Source organism: Homo sapiens, chromosome 3 (assembly GCF_000001405.40).
Source record: "Homo sapiens chromosome 3, GRCh38.p14 Primary Assembly".
Taxonomy (NCBI): Eukaryota; Metazoa; Chordata; class Mammalia; order Primates; family Hominidae; genus Homo; species Homo sapiens.
The window spans coordinates 18,992,134-19,016,460 of record NC_000003.12 but is presented as its reverse complement, the minus strand read 5'-3'; the positions used below and the strand labels follow the sequence as shown (position 1 = coordinate 19,016,460).

Below are 24,327 nucleotides of genomic sequence, written 5' to 3'. Positions count from 1 at the left end.
AATTAATTACAGTAAAGAATACACTTTTGATAAATTTAATGCTTAATTTAAATAGCTATTGTAGAAGGCCGACTGTTAAAAAAAAACCAACAAAGGAATGAAATCATTCCACATGAAGCAGGATGTAACCAAATTGTGTTGCTGAGTAAGACTTGAAAATAATTTTCAAGGCCGCATTAATGCATCATCTACTGGCTTTCCCCTGGCTTCTGCTGTTACTTTGCCAGATTCAGATTTGATTTAATAAGCAACAGCTTAAGAATAACCATTTATGAGCTATCCTTGCAATGCTCAGAAACATGTTCAACTTGAAAGCATCTTGGAGACTTTGTTGAACCAGAAGGACCATATCCTGCGCATTTCTTATTTTGCCCTGAAATAAAACCTCTACTTTTCTTGTCCTTGCACTCTTACTTGTAAAACCTGGCCTATAAGCTTAAATATGTTTTCCTGCAGGAACAATCCTTGCTACTTTACCTTTGCTTCAACCACACTAAATGGTTGACAAAGCACAACTGCCAACTTTAATGGGCTTTGCCTCCCCAGCCACTCCTCTCTTTACGACAAGGGTCGTCATATTCCAAATGGATGGTTTCTAAAGAGAACCACTCTATCAGCTTACTTTTCTAACTCTAGTGCTATCAAGTTAAAAAAAAAAATAGTCTCCTTTTCTTTTTTTCCAACTGCAGTGTGATTTTTTCCTTTTATTTTATGATTTCAGAATGCCTGATTATTATAAACTGTTCAAGTTTTCTATCTTACATCACAAGAAGTCCTCTGACTTAAATTGTAACTCTTTATCTTGATTCTGTTTCCACCATAAGTGTGGAATTCTGAGGCTGTTAGATTATACTTTTTGAGGCCAGTTTCCTATTTCTAAGACCGTTCAGGGTCTAAGAGAACAGATTGAGAAATTCATCGAAGATTATGGGGTGTTCAATCAAAGTACCTCTTCTTTGAAGTTTCTTTCATATTTACTACAATGCCTTTTCTTTTTCTAATTTTGTTTTATTGTGGTAAGATAATCTTCTTAATAAAGTTTTAAGTGTATAATATATTATTGCTGACTGTAGGTTGAATGCAGTACAGCAGATATCTAGAGCTTATTTATTTTGCTTAATTAAAACTTCATACCCATTGATTAGTCACATGGAACAATATTCTGTGATAGGAGGTGGGAAAGGTTGGAGAAAAGGGAGATAGTGACCTGGGAATGTAAGTAGAATGGCCAGATAAAATACAGAATGCACAGTTAACTTTGAAATTCAGATAACAATGAAATTTTTTCTTCTATAAGTATGTCCCATGCAATATTTGAAACATACTTATACTAAAAATTTCTTCATTGTTTATGTAAACTTCAAAGTTAATTGTTGTCCTGTATTTGTATTTGCTAAATCTGCAGCCCTACATATGGGAGAAGTCTTGGTACAGAGGGCAGGAGGTGGTCATGAGTGAGAAAAACTGCGTGTGGAGCTGGGTACATCTGGAAGGAGTTGGAACAGGAAGACTCTAGAGGCCAGAATGACTATGGGGTGAGCATAAAAAGGGAGGAAAGAAAACCTGCTTCTTAGTTTCTACAGTTACACTTCATGAGAATATTTAGGAAATAAAATGAAAATAACAATCATTTTTATAAACAAATAGACAAAACATCAAATGTTAATGTTTTATCACATTCCCATATAAAACACCAAATGTGGGCTTTTATAAATTCTGAATTCAAACTGGTTAGTTTTATTTTTACAAATCATTTCTCATTTTATCTGAAATAGTAACATCAGAACTGTGTTTTGTAAAGTTTATTTTTTTAGTAAAATTGCATGTCTTTGGAAAATAGTTTATGTTCTAGGATTTGTTTCAAGATAATTTATAGGGTTTGCCCTGTATATTTCTTCCCCACACCTGTATTCTAAGCACATAGCTGACACTTTTGCAGATAGACCTCTGAGATGAATCCTCAGTTTCCGCCTGGCTAGGAAAAGCCTAAAAAGATAAATGCTAAGATTGCTTATGAGGACTAGAGACAGAGGAAGTGACTATCAGAGCAACAGGGATGAAGAAGAAAAATATTTCCCAGGAAAGAAAAAGAGATGGAGGAGGAGAATGGTAGGGTGAGGACTGGCATATTTCCTTGTGGTAGTACTCTGCCTGCAGACTGGTGAGTGTATGATTTCCTTGAGATATGGCTTGGGGAGGTTTATCCCCAGGGTGGACATAGAGATCCCCAGCCTTCCAAAGTACATCAAACAGCTCAAGTAGAAATGGAGCACAGGTAGACCTGAAGGCAGCCTGAGCACTAGGCCTGCTGTGCCTCAGTAGTAACCATGACAGACTGATAGCTGATGACCCAGGGGCTTCCTCATTTCCAGATATTACCTAAGACCTGGGAACCTTTGCATAACACTGGGTGGAGGGCGTGGTCCACATACCTCTGATTAAGTTTCCCACCAGCACAGCAGATATCTAGAGCTTATTTAGATAAGGTGAGATGAATCAGAATTAAGTTGATTTGAGAAAAAGAAAGTGAAATTTCTTGCACACATGTGGCCTAAGATTTATGCCCATGCTTCATATTTGCTTAATTTGAATTCCACATTTACCAATTACTAGGAGGAAACCTTTTTTTTCCTGATAATTATGCCTAAGGTATCATGATATGAAATACTAATTTTATAAATTTTTTCTAAGATACTGTAGGTAATAGAGAAATTCCCAAATTGCTTGATTTTGATTCAGGTAGGCCAGGCTGTAACTAATTGTGTTCTTTCTAAGATTTGAGAATAATTGAATCTGTTTTTGCTTTTTGCCAAGTCCTCGAGAGTAGTGCTCAATATAATAATATTTTCCTAGCATTACTTCAGCAGTCAAACAAGAATATAATCCAAAAAGTCCCCTGTATTCACAATGACAATGCTCTTATGATGAAACCACAGAAAGAAGTTGTAATTAATGCAAGGAATAATGTGAACAATCTATTAACATAATCTGAATGAAATCCTTGCACAGTTAAATGCAGACACTAAGTGCTCATATAATACTTTATTAATTAACAAAGTATTTATCCACAGGGAAATGAGGATAAGAGACCACACACTTTGTCAGACTACAGGAAAATGTATTAGTGCTTCATAAGAAATGCATACAATTCAAACAATAGCATGATTATCTTTTTAAAGCAATTACATTTAATCTCAGAAGAAAGAATAAATACATTAATTCTTCCATGTTCCCTGATAAGCCACCAAGATACATAAGCGATCATTTTCTTTTCCTACAGCTCTGGAGGCTGGTGACAATTCAGCGTGTGCTGCTTAGACAACTTTTATAGTGAAATACCACTTAGCACACAAAAACACATTATGAGATTAACTGACTTTTGGCTGAATAGAGTTCTCTTCCCTGGGAAGCTGTGGTTTGTACTTAACTTTGCACATTCCTTTCAGCTTTGGAGACTTGAATGATGAGAAGGTGGATGCTTTAGTCTGGTTAGTATTGTTAAAACAGAATACCGGAGGCTGGGTAATTTATGAAGAAAATAGTTTTATTTAACTCATGGCTCTGCATGCTGGGAAGTTCAAGAGCATGGTGCTGATTTCTAGAGAGGCTTTCATGCTGCATCATAGCATGACAGAAGGTCAACAGGGGAGTGGATGTGAAGAAGGGGCCAAATAGGTAAAGGAAACTTGCTTTAAAACAAATTACTCTTGTGGGAACTAGTCCATATCTGTGACAGCAAGAGCTCACTTTTCAAGAAGACCTTAACCTATTCATAGGGATACACCCCCGTGACTCAAACACCTCTGACTAGGCCCCACCTTCAATACTGCTACACTGGCAATAAAACTTCAATATGAATTTTGACAGGAACAAACCACATCCAAACCATAGCAGTGGATTGCCTATAATAATGGTGTTTGGTGTTGAATTCCAAGTCTGTTTTTTCTTGTTGTTGTTGTTTTTTATCTTGATGTGCTGGGCTAAACCAAGTACCATCACCAAAAATGTCTTCTACCTTTAAAGCTCCAAATGGAAGTCAAAGTAGTTAGCACCATGATTTCTTTCTTTTGGCCTCACTCAGCGATTCTTGACCTTCCAGACCTGGGAGCTGATAAGCAGAAGGTCCACCCTGCATCATATTAGCAGATTGTGACATTATATGATGATCTACTTACAGGCCTTGTGGCCAACAACTAATAAGACAGAGTTTTGGCCAACATGGCTCTTATTTATCACCTCCTAAGCCATAACCTGATTATCATAGCTCCAGTTTCCAGCCCCATACCAGTCTCTTGTCAATCAGTATCAGAAGGCCTGCTCTAACTTCTCTTATGGTTGCTTCATAGCTGTCTCCAATCGCTACTGGCTTCTCAGAAATATCCCTTTCCAGTTTAACCCAGGGACCGAGACCCAGAGTACTACGTGCCCTCAGATGTCATAACTCCTCACTGGGTTTGCAGCAGATAGATGAGAGCTGGTGTAAGACTACAATGGTAAGAAATATATCCTGAATAAGACGTTCAATAGGATAAGGCATAGAATCAAGAGACCTAAGTCCTCTATGTCATATGATATGACATTGAGAAAATAATTCAACCTTTAAGGCTTCTGTTTATGAGATCCATAAAATGGCTATATTAATTATTTTTCTGTTGTCTCCCAGGGACTGTTGTGATGAAGAATTATTACTATATATGTGAAAGGGTTTTGTTTTTTTGAAAAATACAGAATGTTAAACAAATGCATTGCATCATTGCATTAAGTCAGCCCTTCATAATGTTCTTCCTAAAGCATGTCCATCAACCATCACAATGCATCATGGAAAAAAATGCTATAAATGTTACATGATCTAATACATTTGGCAAAAACTGCCTATGGTATCTTCTTCTAAAAGATGGATGATGCTTGTTGGCATAATGAAGATTCTGAAAATTCCTATCAAAAAGACATTTGTTAAATTTTGGTTAACTCAATGTTTTCCTTACTTCTTTGACCATTGAACTTTTTAAAAAAACGGCATTAGCCATGAGAGGAAAAGACATAAAAATATAAAACAACAAATATTTCATGGAACCAGTTTTCTATAAAGCATCATTTAAGAAGCTGGGTAGAAAACTATTTCAAATGAGACCCTGAAATGAAATGTGAAGACATCATAGTTTTTAAAAGAAAAGTTGCTTATTTTTATATATGCATTCTTAGGCTAAAGCTTGAATCGTGTCAATATGAAATAAAAAGGCACCCTATGTTGTTTTCCACCAAGTTTTATAGGCTTTCCATTCATCGATTTAAATATTATGATCATGATATTTATAATGATGTTTCTAGGTAAAGGACAAGGAGACCGTCAGAAATTCTCACATTCCTAGTTGTTGCCACAACTTCCTCCCCAACCACCCCAGTGAAAAGCAAACATCGGAAAGGAGGAGCTATGGGGAAAAGTGAACAAATCCTTTCAACCAGCCCTATATGTCAGGACACGACTAAATAACTATACCTGAAATAATGCTCAGTTCTTATCAGCTACTTTGTCCTCTTATCCAAGTAAAATTATAAGATCAGTATTATTTTCAAAATCTGGTAACCAGAGGACAGCAATGGGCCAGGTTTTGAGTTTGGTTTCTGTGCAACTTATCACTTCATCTCACTTCTCTGACTCCATTTTCCTTACTCATTTTTCTCGTTGTGTCTTCTTTTGCTTTTCTTTAGCAACTCTATTTCTTTGTTTGTTTGTTTGTTTGTTTTTTAGATATCATTGATTGTAAGGTATACCATGGATTTAGTAATAGCTTGGGCAGAAAGAAAGTAGATATAGTGATTTTTTACAGATCAATTCTGTAAATCATATGATTTTATAAATTTATTTGAATGAAATGGGATCTAATTAAACTAAAGAGCTTCTGCACAGCAAAAGAAACTACCATCAGAGTGAACAGGCAACCCACAAAATGGGAGAAAATTTTCGCAACCTACTCATCTGACAAAGGGCTAATATCCAGAATCTACAATGAACTCAAACAAATTTACAAGAAAAAAACAAACAACCCCATCAAAAAGTGGGCGAAGGACATGAACAGACACTTCTCAAAAGAAGACATTTATGCAGCCAAAAAACACATGAAAAAATGCTCACCATCACTGGCCATCAGAGAAATGCAAATCAAAACCACAATGAGATACCATCTCACACCAGTTAGAATGGCAATCATTAAAAAGTCAGGAAACAACAGGTGCTGGAGAGGATGTGGAGAAATAGGAACACTTTTACACTGTTGGTGGGACTGTAAACTAGTTCAACCATTGTGGAAGTCAGTGTGGCGATTCCTCAGGGATCTAGAACTGGAAATACCATTTGACCCAGCCATCCCATTACTGGGTATATACCCAAAGGACTATAAATCATGCTGCTATAAAGACACCTGCACACATATGTTTATTGCGGCATTATTCACAATAGCAAAGACTTGGAACCAACACAAATGTCCAACAATGATAGACTGGATTAAGAAAATGTGGCACATATACACCATGGAATACTATGCAGCCATAAAAAAGGATGAGTTCATGTCCTTTGTAGGGACATGGTTGAAATTGGAAATCATCATTCTCAGTAAACTATCGCAAGAACAAAAAACCAAACACCGCATATTCTCACTCATAGGTGGGAATTGAACAATGAGAACACATGGACACAGGAAGGGGAACCTCACACTCTGGGGACTGTTGTGGGGTGGGGGGAGGAGGGAGGGATAGCATTGGGAGATATACCTAATGCTAGATGATGAGTTAGTGGGTGCAGTGCACCAGCATGGCACATGTATACATATGTAACTAACCTGCACAATGTGCACATGTACCCTAAAACTTAAAGTATAATAAAAAATATATATATTAAAAAAAGAGAAAAAAAATCATAAAGTACTTGCTATTATACCAAACTCAATTCTAAGCCCTTTTTATTTATTAACTCATTTACTCTTCATAATTACTTGATCATAGATACTCTTGTCTTTATTTACAGATGAAGAAACTGAAGCAGAGAAATAAGGAATTTGTCCAAATCTCACAGCAAGTAAGTGGTAGAGGCTGTATTCAAACTCAGCAATTCTTTCCACTGCCCTATTTGATCTCAAAAATCATTCCGAGCCTCAAAAAATAGATTATAGCTGATAAACTATATTCCTGTTTTATACATCATAAAGTGTAATGAAGATTAGAACAGCATAATGAGTAACCTACAATCAATGATTTAGCTTTATATCTTACAGATATATATTAGACTTCTACTGTGTGCATTCTGGTGCAGATTGTCCTTGGGGGAGTAAAGAGGTTCTGCCTCAAGGTGGTTACAGTTATGCTGGGGAAAAATAAGATATACACATGTAAACCAAAGTGTGAGAGAGGACTGCCCTTTGGAATGCTGCCACATATGCTGTTTACAGATACTTCTTTTATGGTTCCAGTTTCTTGCCTAAGATCATACAGTGATAATAGCAGGACTTGACAGTTTATTATTTTTTAAAACAATATAATATTTAAAATAAGTTAGATTTATTCAGTTCAGAATGTATGAAAGTTTTTACCAAAGAACAAGTGACTGCTTTATAGTCTTCATTGCAACCTGTTTTTTCAATGACCTCATTCCTAAAATGAATTTCAAAAATGCCTTTCAGACATTCTATTTTGGTAGAGAACTTCTCTTAGTGGTCTTTTGACCTAATAAGCTGCAATGATATTACTGCTAATCAGAAATAGCAAGTATATGATTACAATACATTAGTGGGAATATGAAGCCAGTAACACTGAATTTTATTGACATGCTGGAGAAAGTTGTCTTCTGTATAATTGAAAAAGTTGCATGGTATATTTTCCCACATGGACAACAAGCTGTCTAGGTAAAGGAATTCAGTGGGATTCTGAGAAATGTGGTACATATAGTTAGAGATCAGTTTTTTCTTGTTCATTCTGGAAACTGGCTTTACTCAGGAGAGATCTTGAGATTCCTGCAGTCAAAATTGTATGTCCCAACACCTTACACTGACGGCTGAAGTGATCCAGCATTATCATCACTCCTTCACGTGATGTGACTGTATCTGGGAGAATCGACTCTCTAACTAGATAATACATTAAGTAGAATTGATTTATGTCAAAATTTTATCTTTAGACAAAGCTGAGTAGAAATGAAGTAGAGAGATTAAAGTCTGGCACATTTTGAGGATGGGATAGCCTCATAGAAGGAGAAAAGGCCTATTAAAGATTGTTTGAAGCAGCTAAAATCAGAATTATAGTAATTCTCACACTAGTTCCCAAGTTCTTTGTGCAGTCACAAAAAGTCTCTATTAATTGTACTCATTAGAAGTCACTACTTTATGTCAGTGATGCTAGAAAATGAATCTGCTTGGAAGACTTCAAATTCAACATAGCCAGGACCTTGTCTTCAAGGAGGACTTTGCAGATGCTTCCAGAGAGGTAGCTTTGTTATACGTTCTTAGTAAGCCCTGAATTTCTCAGCATTTGCCACAATTATAGAAATTAGTTTAAGCTGGCAACACCAGGATCTCTATGTTTCCAAATCCCCAACCCTCTGGAGTTACTCTTTTCTTTACCATTAATATAGTCAATTTGACTTTCTGTGTCCTCGAGGTAAGTGTAACAACCTATCCTATATCATTCAGAATTCCCATGAAAGTAAAATTTACATTCTCTTGGGATCCCTCACTTCCTGGTCAGAAGGCTACTCCCATCTCAATTTTGATCAGCTTTCACCTTTTAATTACCACTCCCACTCACAGCTCTCACCCTCTTGCCTTTGTTTTCTAAGTAGGATGACAAGCCATCTGGGTTTGCCTTGAATGTGGGACTTTCTGGGCTAACAGTGGAAAAGTCCTAAGCAAACTCAAACACCGTGCTCACCTTATTCTCTAAGAAACCAGTATGTTTTCATCATTTTAATAGAAGTGACTGCAAATTCAAGGTGAGGTTAGGCTCAACTTCATTATTTAAGATACTATGAAAGGAAGCATTATGGGGTCAGTTATATATGGCCTTACTTTTTGTGTCAGTCATCATAATCCTGACTCTTACCACTGTGTGGTTCAAACATCCACCAGCCTGCTGTGTGGGCAAATTTCGTTAGTCTCCAGGGATTATTAAGATGAACAGTGTCTTGTCCTCATAGAGCCAACTGTTTATATATTAACAATGAAAAATTCATGTCATATGAACTGTAGTAGAAATGTATGCATGGTGCAATGTAACATAGAAGAAAATCTTATTAAATCTGCCTGGGGGATAATTCTGCACTATCTCTCATACATAAAGCTCAACATAAGGCCCTAAGGATGATATCAGTGTTCAATAATGTTATCCTTTATCCCTACTCCAAAGCTATGTTCTAGCCTAAAAGCACTTTTCTTTTAAAATTCTGTTTGCTACAGAATTTTAGCTGTCATCAGTAGTGTGGTGACAAACAGGTTCCCCCTTCCCAAATAAAGTCTTCATATATAGCGTTTACTAATTTCCATGGTGTAAACATTTTCATCATGGCCAATTTCAAGCTGCAACACTTTAACAACTGGTCAAGAAAATTGCTGAATATTTAATTCACTATTTTGAGCATATATAAGCCAGCTCCCACACACCGTTGGCATAATCTGGTAAGATTATCCTAATCAGTATATCTTTAAGTATTTTTACACTTAAAAGAACTTTTAAAATTTAGGATTTTATGAAGATTATTCATTCAACAAGTATTATTTTTTCTCTTACTATGTGCCCAGTCCTTTTATAGGTGCTGGAGATGGAGCAAGAAACAAAACAAACATGGCTCCTGCCATTATGGTGTTTCTGATCTAGCGGACAATGATGACTATAATGGAGAAAAATAAAGTGGGGCAAGGAGGGCACTGAGATATTATAGGAAGTACTACTTTGTATGTGATGATCAGGGAAATTCTTATTGATCAGATCACATTTCAGCAAGGTTTAAAAAGAAGTAATGTAGAAAGTCATGCAGATATCTGGAAGAGGACACTGAGGGTGTAAAGACTCTGAAGGAGAAGTGTGCTTGGCATGTTTGAGAAAGAGCAAGAAGACTACTGTGTCCTCATTGGAAAGAGTAAGGAATACAGTGGTAGGGAATCAGGTAATAGAGGTATATACAGGTAAGATGGGAGGATACATACTATGGATTAGTATAATTTATTAAATGCCTACTTCGTGGCCATAGAAATGGTAAGAGTATAAAGATACTGTTTTATTTAATCTTTACAAGCCTTTGGGAGAGTTATTATCATGCCACTCCCTTACCAGTGATGAATTTGAGGCTTAGAATAGTATTTTAGTTTGAGTTACCCAAGAAGCAAATCCTAAACAAAGGGTCTGAGTTCAAGTAATTTACTTGGGAGCTGATTGCAGAAGATGCCAGCAGGAAATGTGGAAAGTGAGTCAGGGAAGGAAGGAGAACAGAAAAATGATGAGACAACTATCACTGTGGACAACTGGAGCTTAATACCACTGGAGAATCCTAGAAGCTAGTGTAGAAGCATGACCCTCAGAGTTATCTCACTGAGGTGTTACAGAAATGGAATATGCATACCCCAAACTCCTATCAGTTATAGGCTGGTGCTATTCCCAAAGGGTGCTAATTATCTGTACTTTCAGCCTACTGTACATTTGAACATGTTATCCAGTCACCAGAAGAAACATTTAGACAAAGATTGACAGGGGACAACAGTTAGTAGTGCTAGGTGCCCAAAAGTGTTAATTCCAAAGAAGTTATGGGTGGGATACTGGGAACATTGACTACAAAGACTTAAGTAACTGGTATTTCTCAGAATCAGAATTTGCACACTAACCCATACTACAGTGCTGGTGGAAGAACTTAAAAGATTATTAGGATCTCAACTGGGCCTACCTTTGTGTTACAGGGAAGGGAAATATGTTTTATTTCATAGAAATCAATATACCCCTCCCATTTTGAATACTAGTACTGATTCATAATGAATATTACAACTAGTTTTCATCAATAACCCCAAAATGTGACTAAGAATTATCATGGGTTTTATTTGAAAGTGATTGCCAATATAAAGAACATTTAGAGATGATGAGTTTTTTTTCATATGTTTGTTGGCCACATAAATGCCTTCTTTTGAGAAGTGTCTGTTCATATCCTTTGCCCACTTTTTGGTGGGGTTGTTGGTTTTTTTCTTGTAAATTTCTTTAAGTTCTTTGTAGATTCTGGACATTCGCCTTTTGTCAGATGGATAGGTTGCAAAAATTTCCTCCCATTCTGTAGGTTGCCCGTTTACTTTGATTACAGTTTCTTTTGCTCTGCAGAAACTTTTTAGTTTAATTAGATCCCATTTGTCAATTTTGGCTTTTGTTGCCATTGCTTTTCATGTTTTAGTTATGAAGTCTTTGCCCATGCCTATTCCCTGAGTGGTATTGCCTAGGTTTTCTTCTAGGGTTTTTATGGTTTTAGGTCTTGCATTCAAGTCTTTAATCCATCTTGAGTTAATTTTTGTTAAGGTGTAAGAAAGTGATCCACTTTCAGTTTTCTGCATATGGCTAGCCAGTTTTCCCAACACCATTTATTAAATAGGGAGTCCTTTCCTTATTGCTTGCTTTTGTGAGGTTTGTCAAAGATCAAATGGTTGTAGATGTGTGGTGTTATTTCTGAGGCCTCTGTTCTGGTCTATTGGTCTATGTCTGTGTTTTGGTACCAGTACCATGCTGTTTTGGTTACTGTAGCCTTGTAGTGTAGTTTGAAGTCAGTTAGCATGATGCCTCCAGGTTTGTTCTTTTTGCTTAGGATTGTCTTGGCTAAAAGAAATGCAAATCAAAACCACAATGAGATACCATTTCACACCAGTTAGAATGGCTATCATTAAAAAGTCAGGAAACAACAGATGCTAGAGAGGATGTGGAGAAATAGAAACGTTTTTATAGAGTTGGTGGAAGTGTAAATTAGTTCAACCATTGTGGAAGACATTGTGGTGATTCCTCAAGGATCTAGAACCAGAAATACCATTTAACCCAGCAATCCCATTACTGGGTATATATTCAAAGGATTATAAATCATTCCACTATAAAGACACATGCACACATATGTTTATTACAGCACTGTTCACAATACCAAAGACTTGGAACCAACTCAAATGCCCATCAATGATAGACTGGATTAAGAAAATGTGGCATATATACATCATGGAATACTATGCAGTCATAAAGAAGAAGGATTCATGTCCTTTGCAGTGACATGGATGAAGCTGGAAACCATCGTTCTCAGCAAACTAACACAGGAACAGAAACCAAACATGGCATGTTCTCACTCACAAGTGGGAATTGAACAATGAGAACACAAGAGACAGGGAGGGGAACATCACACACCGGGGCCTGTCAGGGGGTAGGGGGCTAGCAGAGGGATAGCATTAGGAGAAATACCTAATGTAGATGATGGGTTGATGGGTGCAGCAAACCACCATGGCACGTGTATATCTATGTAACAAAACTGCACATTCCACACATGTATCCCAGAACTTAAAGTATAATAAATAAATTAAAAAATAAAAAAAGAGAACATTTAGGAAAGATCAGTGAGGAGTTTTTCTTGAAATCTAAAATCACAGTAATTTAAATAGATCAGAAATTTCCACCAGCAATGGTGCCAAAGACACAGGAGTTACTTGATATCACTGGAGATTAAATTTGTTCTTCTCTCTCCGTTACAGTGTTAGCACAGTTCAGAGGACCAAGAAGCTGAGGGATAGTGCAATGTGAGGCAGTACCCTTAATGGTAAGAGAAAGGGGAGGGTTGGAATATTGCATTAAAAAAGAGAACTGAGACATTTTCAATGAAGAGTTGCTATGTTTGTCCGAGGTCTCACCATGTCCGCATATAAATAGATATGAAGCAGCTCTGGCTTTCAGAGAGCAGCCCAAGTGTGCCTGTGGTCTCTCAGCTCATCCATACGTGACACTTCAAAAAAAGAGATGGAGAGTGGAAGTGACTGGAAAGAACCCTTTGGGTTATACTGATCATTGCCATGTGCTCCACAAAACTCCACTATCTGAAAGGTAGTGGTCAGGAATTCAAAGAAAATCCTATAGAGAGTGTGATACAGAAGGTTTTGCATAAATTAAATATAACACAACCATTCCCAGACCTCAGAGATCACATTGTTTTTCTCTCCAATCTCCAGTTAGATTATTTATTTGAAATGGTATCAAATATGCCTGTCCCCAGGCTAGGAGTAAAATAGCAATTTTGATGCTGAACATAAGGAGAAGAGAACAAAAAGATTAAAGCAATCAAAACAAAATGTGGCATGTTTTGAAAAAGGCTAAAAACATGGCAAAGAGAATACCATTCTTTGCTGATACGCAAAGAGCCAAAATTTAAATAAATAAATGTTAAGGCCATGTTCAAGATAAGCACAGTTGTTGGGTATAGAAAAATGGATAATATAGCAGAGAAAGACATGATCAAAACCAATGGTTTAAAACCATTTTTAAAACAGCAGAATGCTTTTATTCCAGTGTAATTGTACATGAAATTCAATTGATAAAGCAGATAAAAATGCAGCTGCTCCAGTAGAATAAGGGGAGACCAAAGGCACTGTACCTCTGCCTCTCTTTTTTCTCCTGCAGCTGCTCCTGTAGCCCTGCCAAGGAATTCTTACACTCTGCAAAATGGAATTTGAAAAGCAAATGTTGTAATGCCACAACTTCTATCCATTGCATAGTTTTATAGGTGTTAAATATTATTAACTCCTTTTAAACTGGTAGGCATACACTAATAAAGTTGTAGGCCGTTCTCCTTTCTTGTGTTCATAATTCTACATCTTAAAAATAGAGTTGAAAGATGTAGCAGCTGACAAAAGTATAAAAATTGTGCCAGCCCATCTCACACTTTCTGGTGGCCCTGCTGATACTGGCAGGAGAGAACTGTATGTGGATGATGTGCAGTATTCACATCAGTAATAAAATTCTTGCCTGCCCCTTATGGTCTGATTTATTTGAACTTCTTATTGTCTCTCACATCCTTGACCCAGGGACTGTTGGTAATTTGCATTGTTTCTACTGAGTAAGTCGGATGTGTTTAATATTTATCTTCAGAAGTTCAGAGACCTTAGGTGAACTTTGTATCTAGTTAACTGGAATGATTAATTCATACATCCAAAAGCTAAAGGGTTCTTTCTGTGAATTGTCAGCATCCATTCTTCGAAATGCAGCAGGACGGTTTAATGGCTTAAATGCACTGGTGTTGAAGGTTTGAGGAGGGCTCAGTGCTTCTTGGTTCCATGTGGAACTGAAGGCACAGAAGCAAAAAGGACTATTTAGCCCCTGCTTAAGCCATAACCAGGATATAGAAGTCCTTGGCCCTGTAATTTAAATCATCAGTCGCCAGTGAAGAAGAGAAGGTGGGTTTATGTCACTTCTGAGTGGATAATCTGAGGAATGAGAAGGCAACCTATAATACACTTGCTGTTGAAAGAGAAACAGCAGTCAGAGCAGGGCTGGGAGACATACGGACATTCAAATTCTCAAGGCTTCCCTGCTTCCAGCTTGCTTTCTCATCTGTAAAATGGAACAAGAATAGCTGCAAGACTGGGTGTGGTGGCTCCTGCCTGCAATCTCAGCCCTTTGGGAGGCTGAAGTGGGAGGATTGCTTAAGGCCAAGAAGTAGAGAGAGGCTGCAGTGAGCCATGATCATGCCACTGCACTCCATCCTGGGCAACAGAGTGATACCCTGTCTCAAAAAACAAACAAACAAAAAGAAGTAAAAGAAGAATAGCTATAATGGTACGTTCAATTATTCAAAAATATTCACTGTTTCTACCAACTTTATATCAGGAATAAACTTTCCTATTCCATCGACATTGGGTTTAGCCATGCATCTGCGTTGACCTCATCCTGGGCAGGAAGTACTTCATATTTTGGCTTTGGCCTTGAACTTGCACAGCTAGTGGGATATCAGCAGATGTGATGCAGTAACAGTTTAAAACATGCTTATCATGAGAAAAAATGCTCCAGCTACCCTGATGTCTAAGGAGTAGGAGAGGCTTGTTGAGCAGAACTGGATCCAACCTTCAGCTTGAGGTCAAGTCCAGCCTACATCACCAACCCCCCCAATGACCCACAGAGAGAACAAAATAAATGTATTTTTTAAGTCCTGGGTGTTAGGGTGCTTTGTTACACAGCAATAATTAATATGCTTACATATAGGTTACTATAAAGATTAAATGAGGTGACATATATAAACCATCTTAATACAATGCCCATCAACCATTAAACACTCAATGAATAATTTCTGCTATTATAAACAATGTTCACATTAGCATTTGGGTTATTTTTTCCTTCAAATTTTGCTGGTGAAAAAAAGGGATAGCACATAGCCTTTTGGCTGGAGTCTTGGCCTGCTGAGAAAATGCTTGACAGAGTACATTTCGAGGCAAGTCTCCTTTATACTGCCCTACCCTTCTAGTTCTTTCACCTCCAGTGTGGAATACTGAAAAAAATGGTAAGATTAGACATTTCTTTGGGATTTTTTTTCTTTTGGAAAGAGGTCTTTTCTTGGCAACCAACCAAGATGGTAGGCTTTCCACAAGGTTCTTTGGGTGTGCGGTTGTAAGCATCTGGATGCTCGTGGTCTGATGCTGGCTCTGCCACTGTCTTCCCTGTTGCCTGAGGAACTTAACCTCCCTGTATTGCACTTCCCTGATTTACATAATGGGGCTGATTATAATTGCCAACCTCACAGGATTGTTGTGCGAATTAACTAATGTTTGTAAAGTGCTTAGAGGTCCATAGATGAAAGGTGCTATATAAGCCTATTATTATGTCATCAGAAATGAAATTCCAATAAGATTATACTTTCATTTCAATTCCCATTAATTTTGTCATCATTCTAGATTAATTCTCACTGGTTTTCTAGAGCAAATAAATAAATAAATAAGAGAAAAGGGTGATATATTAAAACATGAAGCATTCACATGGAAAGGAAATTAGCTAGAAAAAGCTAACACTTAGAAGTGATTTTTAAATTATTATCCTTTAATGAGCCCTGATCATGTAATCAATATTATGTAAAACCCAGATATGGTCTCTGAGTTTACAAACTAAATTATGAACCTGACTGATTAAATAGCTAACATTTTCTATTTCAAGTGTGTAGAAATGAATGCTATATAAAGACCTATAACTCAACTCATTTTTAAATTGGACGTCTGGTTATAGGAAATAACCCCAAAAGATTAAAAGTGTATAAAGAGTATGTTTATGAGGTTATCATGTGGTCTGGTTAATTCTATATTAAGTCCATGTGAATTAGTGTTGATAATCAGACCTACTTAAGTGACCTGTAGGTAATTAGTAGCATAAAGTTTGATTATAAATCCTCTCATAAAATCAGGAAATGTTAGATCTTTAACATCTGATTTAATCCCCTCATTTTACAGATAAGAAAACAGAGACCTTGAGTATTTAAATAGTTTACATAAAGTCTCATACCTAGAGGCTGGCAGATTTGGGCCACCAAAATCTCCAGCCAATGCTGTTTCCAACACAGCTATTTGTACCTATGAATAAGAATAGTTACTTATCCATGTTGTAACATAGATTATCTCTTCCACGCTGTTGGCATTGGGGATATAGTAGATAGATATTTCAAGTCCTCATTGTTCACTGAAGTAAGTTTTTTGTATTAATACTAGTAAAATGGCTGCCTTCATTTGGATACCATACTGATTTCAAAAAATAAGACATTATTCTGGGTGTCCTAAATACATAGAAATGAGTCCTTTTTCCAGGACTGTTGACAAGATATGGCAGATGGGGCCTTGGAATCTGTTTTCTTCTTTGGAAATCCAGAGGGTGGAAAAATATCCAGTTCTCCAGTTCTAAAGATCTATGCATCTGAAATTCTGGGTTCATTAGAAGTAAAGAATGGTACTAGATCCTATGCTTGTAACAAGGACAGTTCACTGGATTCCTTGAAATTGTAATGCCAGTAGAAGGAGATGGATGCTGTTGCTTCATTTTCCATTAGGTAGATGCTACATACAGATAATAAAGGAAAAGTCTATTTAGAGGCCTAATGCACACTTATTTCTTAGGTTGCCTCATGCTGCTGATGTCTGAAGATGCAAATTTTCTTTTTAAAATTGGGAGTGATATCAAGTCCAACTAAACTTCACTGGGTTATGGATGGAGGAAATTATGTTTCATTTGATAACTGCAGTAATGCCAAAAGAAACCTGAAAGACAAATGCCTGCCTTAAATATTGAGACAGAGATAGATGGACTAAAAGATGCACTATAGGAAAACAGCAGCAAAAGCTTTAGTTAGTGAGAATCTTATTCCTTCTCTAGATTCAGTTCATCTTTTCACTCCAGTACAAGCTTTACCTATAAATTATTTTTCTGTTTCTAAGAAATTGAAAATGTTGGTTGCTTAACACCAAGGTGTGCAATCCTGAGGACTTGTTCATTTATTCCTACATTCATTCATTCAGTGCTTTTCAAGCACCTCCTATCTTGTGGGATGCATTTTAGGAGGTGTTGTAGTGACAGATATTATTGCTAATTTTTACATCATTTTTATATGTCATATACTGTTCTATTTGTCTTATATATATTAATTCATTTGATCCTCACCACAACCCTATGATGCTGTAATTATTATCCCCATTTTACAGATGAGGAAAATGAGACAGAGAGGTTGAGCAACTTGTTCAAGGTCATTGTATTAATCATGTTTTTCATTTTCTGTACCTTATAATGTTTTGAAATCTTAAAAATCTTAGTGGTCAGGGAAGTCTTCCTTCCAAGGATGAGCCAATCTTTAGAGACAACAAAGGGCTAGGCCATGAGCCCACCTTTCATACCCAAACCAACTAATCTCCATCCACCTGCTTTATGTAGCCTCATACACCAAGCCAATATTTCCCCTGACCTAAATTATTCCAGGGCCAGATACCAGGCAATAGAGACCACTCCTATAGCCCAAAGCCCATCGGGATTATTCAAACTAGTCAATCCTGAACAGGTTATTCTACTCCACCTTGCCTTTCCTACAGAAACCCCGATAAAACGTCTGGCCTAGGCTTCCCCTACAGCCCTGTTTCTGTCTCCTGTCCAAATCTGCTGCCTCTTCCTGTGGCCCTGCATGGTATGCCCTGCATGGTATGCCATGCCTCTTGCTTCTCAAAGTGTGAATGACATTAAACATTTCTTTCAGTGGCATTGATGTCTCCATGTCATCCATCAGACACCTTGTTAAATTAAGACCTGAGCACTATTCACTTGTGAATTTGAGTCTGTGCTCTTAACATATGCGCTATACTAATATAAATAATAACTTTAAAGGGCTCATAGTTTTGTTCAGAAACAAAGTCAGAACAAAACTGTTATAAAATAGTATGTAAATACAATCATGAAGAGATCATTGTTATAACTAGCTCATTCAATAGCAATATATTAGTGTGAAAAGAATATATACCCTGGTTTAATTCATATTTGGAGGAGTTTTGGTGAACTTGCTTGTTTTTATTTAGTTCATTTGAATTCAACAAATATTTAGGCATTTATTATGTGCAGACACTTAGTCAGTTACTGAAGACGCACACGCAAAAAGGGAGCAGGGGGTAAAATACACCTTTGAGTGGTGAAGTGGAGAACACAGGCACTTAAATAGCAACCATAATACAGTGTAATGGATGCAAACACAGAGGAATGGCTGTGAGAGCTCAAGGGAGGGGTAATTAGTTTTGATCCTAAAAAGCAGTTGGGGCAGGTGCGCAGTAAAATTCCTGTGAAGAATTAGAAATTAGGAAACTTTTGTGGGAGATGGCACAGGCTGGGGGCAGGAAAAGAGTGTGAAGTTTCATTTAGTTCGGAAGGAACAGAATCAGCAAGGATTTTGAGGCATGTTGTCACGCAAATCTGATGAATTGGTTTGTATCTTTGAAGATCTGATTTTGTGGAACACCAAAAATGAGACTGGATTATTGATATGGTTTGGCTCTGTGTCCCCACCCAAATCTCATCTTGTAACTTCCACAATTCCCACATGTTGTGGGAGGAACGCAGTGGGAGGAGATTGAATTCTTTTTGTGGGGGTGGTGGGTTCTTTCCTGTGCTGTTCTTGTGGTGGTGAATGAGCCTTACAAGATCTGATGGTTTTAAAAAATGGGAGTTACCCTGGGCAAGCTCTCTTTGCCTGCCGCCATGCATGTAAGATGTGACTTGCTCCTCTTCGCCTTACACCATGATTGTGAGGCTTCCCCAGCCACGTGGAATTGTAAGTCTAGTTAAACCTTGCTCTTTTGTAAATTGCCCAGTCTCAGGTATATCTTTATGACATACAGCATTAAAACAGACTAATGTAGTAAATTGGTACCAGTAGAGTGGGGCACTGCTGAAAATATACCCAAAAATGTGGAAGTGACTTTGGAACTGGGTAACAGGCAAAGGTTGGAAGAGTTTGGAGGGCTCAGAAGAAGAAAGGAAAATGTGGGAAAGTTTGGAACCTCCTAGAGACTTGAACGGCTTTGAACAAAATGCTGATAATGATATGGACAATGAAATCAAGGCTGAAATGGTCTCACATGGAGATGAGGAACTTGTTGGGAAATGGAGTAAAGATGACTCTAGCTATGTTTTAGCAAAGAGAGTGGCAGAATTTTGCCCCTGACCTAGAGATTTGCGGAACTTTGAACTTGAGAGCAATGATTTAGGGTATCTGGTGGAAAAAATTTCTAAGCAGCAAAGCATTCAAGAGGTGACTTGGGTGCTGTTAAAAACATTCAGTTTTAAAAGGGAAACAGTATAAAAGTTTGAAACATTTGTAGCCTGACAATTTGATAAAAAGAAAATCCCATTTTCTGAGGAGAAATTCAAGCTGGCTGCAGAAATTTGCATAAGTAATGAGGAGCTGAATGTGAATCCCTAAGACAATAGGGAAAATGTCTCCAGGGCATGTCAGAGGTCTTCATGGCAGCCCCTCACAGCACAGGCCCAGAGTTTTAGGAGGAAAAAATGGTTTAGTGGGCCAGGCCCAGGATCCCTCTGCTGTGCGCAGTCTAGGGACTTGGTGACCTGTGTCCCAGATGCTTCAGCTGTTGACTAAAAGGGGCCAACATACAGCTTGGGCTGTTGCTTCAGAGGGCGGAAGCCCCAAGCCTTGGCAGCTTCCATGTGGTGTTGAGCCTGCAGGTGCTCAGAAGTCAATCACTGAGGTTTGGGAACCTCCACCTAGATTTCAGAAGATGTATGGAAATGCCTGCATACCCCGGCAAAAGTTTGCTGCAGGGGCAGGACCCTTATGGAGAACCTCTGCTAGGGCAGTGCAGAAGGAAAATGTGGGGTGGGAGCCCCCACACACAGAGTCCTTACTGGGGCACTGCGTGGTGGAGCTGTGAGAAGAGGGTCATCATGCTCCAGATTCCAGAATGGTAGATCCCCTGACAGCTTGCACAGTGCACCTGGAAAAGCCACAGACACTTAATGCTAGCCCATGAAAACAGCCAGGAGGGGGTCTATACCCTGCAAAGCCACAGAGGTGGAACTGCCCAAGACCATGAGAACCCACCTCTTGCATCAGTGGGATGTGGATGTGAGACACAGAGTCAAAGGAGATCATTTTGGAGCTTTGAGATTTGACTGCCCCGTTGGATTTTGAACTTGCATGGGGCCTGTAGCCCCTTGGTTTTGGCCAGTTTCTTCTATTTGAAATGGCTGTGTTTACCCAATGCCTCTACCCCCACTGTGCCTAGGATGTAACTAACTTGCTTTTGATTTTATAGGCTTGTAGGCGGAAGAGACTTGCCTTGTCATGTTTGAGACTTTGGACTGTGAACTTTTGAGTTAATGCCAAAATGAGTTGAAACTTTGGGGGGCTGTGGGAAAGGCATGATTGGTTTGGAAATGTGAAGATAAGAGATTTGGGAAGGGCCACAGGTGGAATGATATGGTTTGGCCCTCTGTCCCCACCCAAATCTCATCTTGTAATTCCACCAATTCCCAAGTGTTGTGGGAGGAACCCAGTGGGAGGTGATTGAATTACAGGGGCAGGTGTTTCCTGTGCTGTTCTTGTGGTGGTGAACGAATCTCACAAGATCTGATGGTTTTAAAAAAAGGGGAGTTACCCTGCTCAAGATTTTTTTGCCTGCTGCCATCCATGTAAGATGTGACTTGCTCTTTCTTGCCTTCTGCCATGATTGTGAGGCCTCCCCACCCATGTGGTTCTGTAAGTCCCATTAAACCTTTTTCTTTTGTAAATTGCCCAGTCTCAGGTATGTCTTTATCAGCAGCATGAAAATGGACTAATACAACTATATTCATAATTTTAAGCCCAGATCACACACAATACTATATGGCAGTGGGGAGCAGGTCAGAGCAGTAGAGAGTGACAATTTTTGGAACTTGATAGATCTGAGTTCACATCTTGATTTTCTCACTCACTAGCTGGATGTCATTGGGTGAATTACTTAATCTCTCTGAAGTCCAATGTGAATAATTTTGCCTACCTAAGATATGTAAAGCACCTAGCTAAGGCAAAAAGAAAGTTTTCTTCCACCATCTGGACAAAAGATTCTAGTCGATTTTAGTCAAAATATATGTAGAAGTACAGAACCCCCACAAAGATTGCATGAATTTTAAGAATATTCTAAAGGCTATGGCAGCAAGACTTAAAACAGGTTTTTGTTAATATCCATTATAATATGGGAGTTATTAAAAGTAAGATGTACCAATTTTCTGCCTTGTTTTCTCCTTTGACTTATCCCTTAGCAGCACTCTCTTGTTTGGATGGGTCTTAAGCATGAACCAGTTTGTGAACTCTTGAACTATAAGAGGCTGAGGATACTATATTGGCAGAGTGTTACTCATACCATGCAAGAATTATAAATGAAAAGCAGAATGATGTATCAAATTGTTAGTGGCTTACTTTCATTTCTCAATCAGTATTTTTCTTTTCTTTTCTTTCATTCATTCTTTCTTTCTTTTCTTTTCCTTTCTTTTCTTTTTTTTGAGACTGGGTCTTACTCTGTTACCTGGTTTGGAGTGCATTGGCACAATCTCAATCTCTGTTCACTGCAACCTCCACCTTCCAGGCTCAAGCAATCCTCCCATCTTAGCCTCTCAAGTAGCTGGGACCACAGGTGCACTCCATCACACCTGGCTAATTTTTTGCATTTTTAGTAGAGACGGGGTTTCACCATGTTGCCCAGGCTAGTCTTGAACTCCTAAGCTCAGGTGATCCACCCACTTTGGCCTTCCAAAGTGCTGGAATTACAGGCATAAGCCACTGAACCTGGCCTCCAGGCAGTATTTTTCATTTGCTTTTCATCACCAAATGATCAGGCCCCAACATCTCTTCCAAATCTTCCTTTTTGGTCGCTGTATCAAATTTCCCTGGAAGATGCACACACATCATTTTTTGAGTGTTTGCTATGTGATGTGCAGTTTGGGATACTCACTACATTTGCATATATTACAATGACCTTGGTTTTAAGCTTACTAAGCACTAACACATTTGAACTCATCTGCTTTGGGCCTCCCTCTTGTCAATGGTAAGAGTTGGATTGATCACTGGATAATCTTTACTTCCAATGTGACACATATTCATTTATCATTTGATTTCATATTAGAGACTGACAGAAGTTGATTTATTGTGGATTAGTAGAGTAAATTCAACAGTGTGTTGCTTCTTGATGCCACCTTAACAAGAGTTCATAGGGAGAAATCTGGAGTTAGACTGCCTAGATTATATCTTGACCCCTTCATATGCTGGTCTGGTGACATCAAGACAAATACCTTAATTTCTACGGACCTCAGTCTTCTCAAGCATAAAAGTACCTACTTCATACAGTTGTGGTGTTAATTAAATGAGATAATATTTAGCCCGGTGCCTGGTATGTAGTAAGTACTCAAAAGATATTAGTTACCATTTTTATTGACAAGGACAACTCAATGCAATTAACTTCCCTATGCTGTCCATTATATTAGCCACCAGATGTGGTTATTTATATTTAAATTAATTAACATTAAACTGTAAAAAATCAATTACTTAGTTGCACCAGTTACATTTCAGGGGCTCAATAGCCACATGTGGCTAATGGCTACTGCTGGATTGTGCAGCTATGGAATATTTCCATCATTGTAGAGAGTTCTGTTGGACCATACTGACAATAACATTGCCATCAAACCCTAACAATAATGAAAGAAAAACAGCAAATGCACCACATACTTAAAAACATTCAGTTGTCTGTTCTACTAGGGCTTTAAACTCAAAGAAATCCAAGATACCTAGTTTAAGTGTGTGTCAACCTTTTGAAACAATTATAGCCTTATTTTTTTCCAGTTGTTTTGTTGTTTCTCCCTGCCCCCTTCCCTATTTTAAATATCTTTCTGATGGAGTTACATTCCATATGTAACATTGTTACAGGTGCAAAATTGTTTCTTTTAATTCTGAATGCGGTTGCACATGTGCAGCAACAGCACTGAAGGCCAACACACTATTACTGTGCATCCAGGCCTCTCTCTCACAGTCTGTGGGTCAACAACATTCTTCTTTGCTTGCTAATGCTTTATTGTCTCTTAGTATACATTGGAATAATAATGGTAATTTATGCAGATATTTTGTATGCATAGCAAATAATGAGAAACACCTGCAGAAATTTCCCTCCTTCTCTGAGTTCAGCAACTAATTATATTTTTAAATAATGGCTACCATTGAACACAATTATCCAAATCACTTTAAGTAATGGAATCTTTTTAAGGTGTTTTTGAAAATTTTAGCACAGTTTTTAAACACTCATTTTTATCTAGATGATGGGAGAAAAAAAAGGCTAGTGGGCGGCTTACTCACCCAAAAAGCAGTTTCTGCCAAGAGTAGATCAGTCCGGAATATTCCTCTGGGCCCAGTCTTTGCTCCAGAGGTTATGACCAGCTGATGAAAACCAGGTTTTCCAAAGAGCTTACCTTCTTGATTTTGGTGCCTCGCTCTTCTTCCCTTTCTTCCTTTCTTAATGTAATATAAAAATAATTAGATTGCCTCTAAAAATTCTCTGTTTTAAAAGCACAAATTGCCACATGATTTTCCCTTCTGTCAATTTAATAGTTTGAGTGGGAAAAGCACTGGCTGGCAAGTCAGAAGACCTAGATGTTTTGTCTTCCTAGGTCTCAATTTCCTGTTCCATACATTTGGAAAGCTGAGACAGATAAATTCCTAACACCTTTCTAATGCTAAAATCTGCAACCCCATGACAGCCACAGATCTTTGTATCATAGCACACCAGGAATCAGGTTTAGCAAAGAGAATCT

The 24,327-nt window shown here is 38.0% G+C and overlaps 2 long non-coding RNA genes across 3 annotated transcripts in view; one reads left to right on the top strand and one right to left on the bottom strand.

The window, feature by feature from the left end:
• LOC107986066 (uncharacterized) overlaps positions 1-24,327 on the bottom strand; it is a 116,751-nt gene that overhangs the window by 66,443 nt on the left and 25,981 nt on the right. The window lies entirely within an intron of this gene.
• LOC105376981 (uncharacterized) lies at positions 4,413-12,796 on the top strand. Its single transcript, XR_940639.3, has 3 exons — positions 4,413-4,493; positions 7,022-7,072; positions 12,732-12,796. It is a non-coding gene; the product is annotated as an uncharacterized LOC105376981 (long non-coding RNA).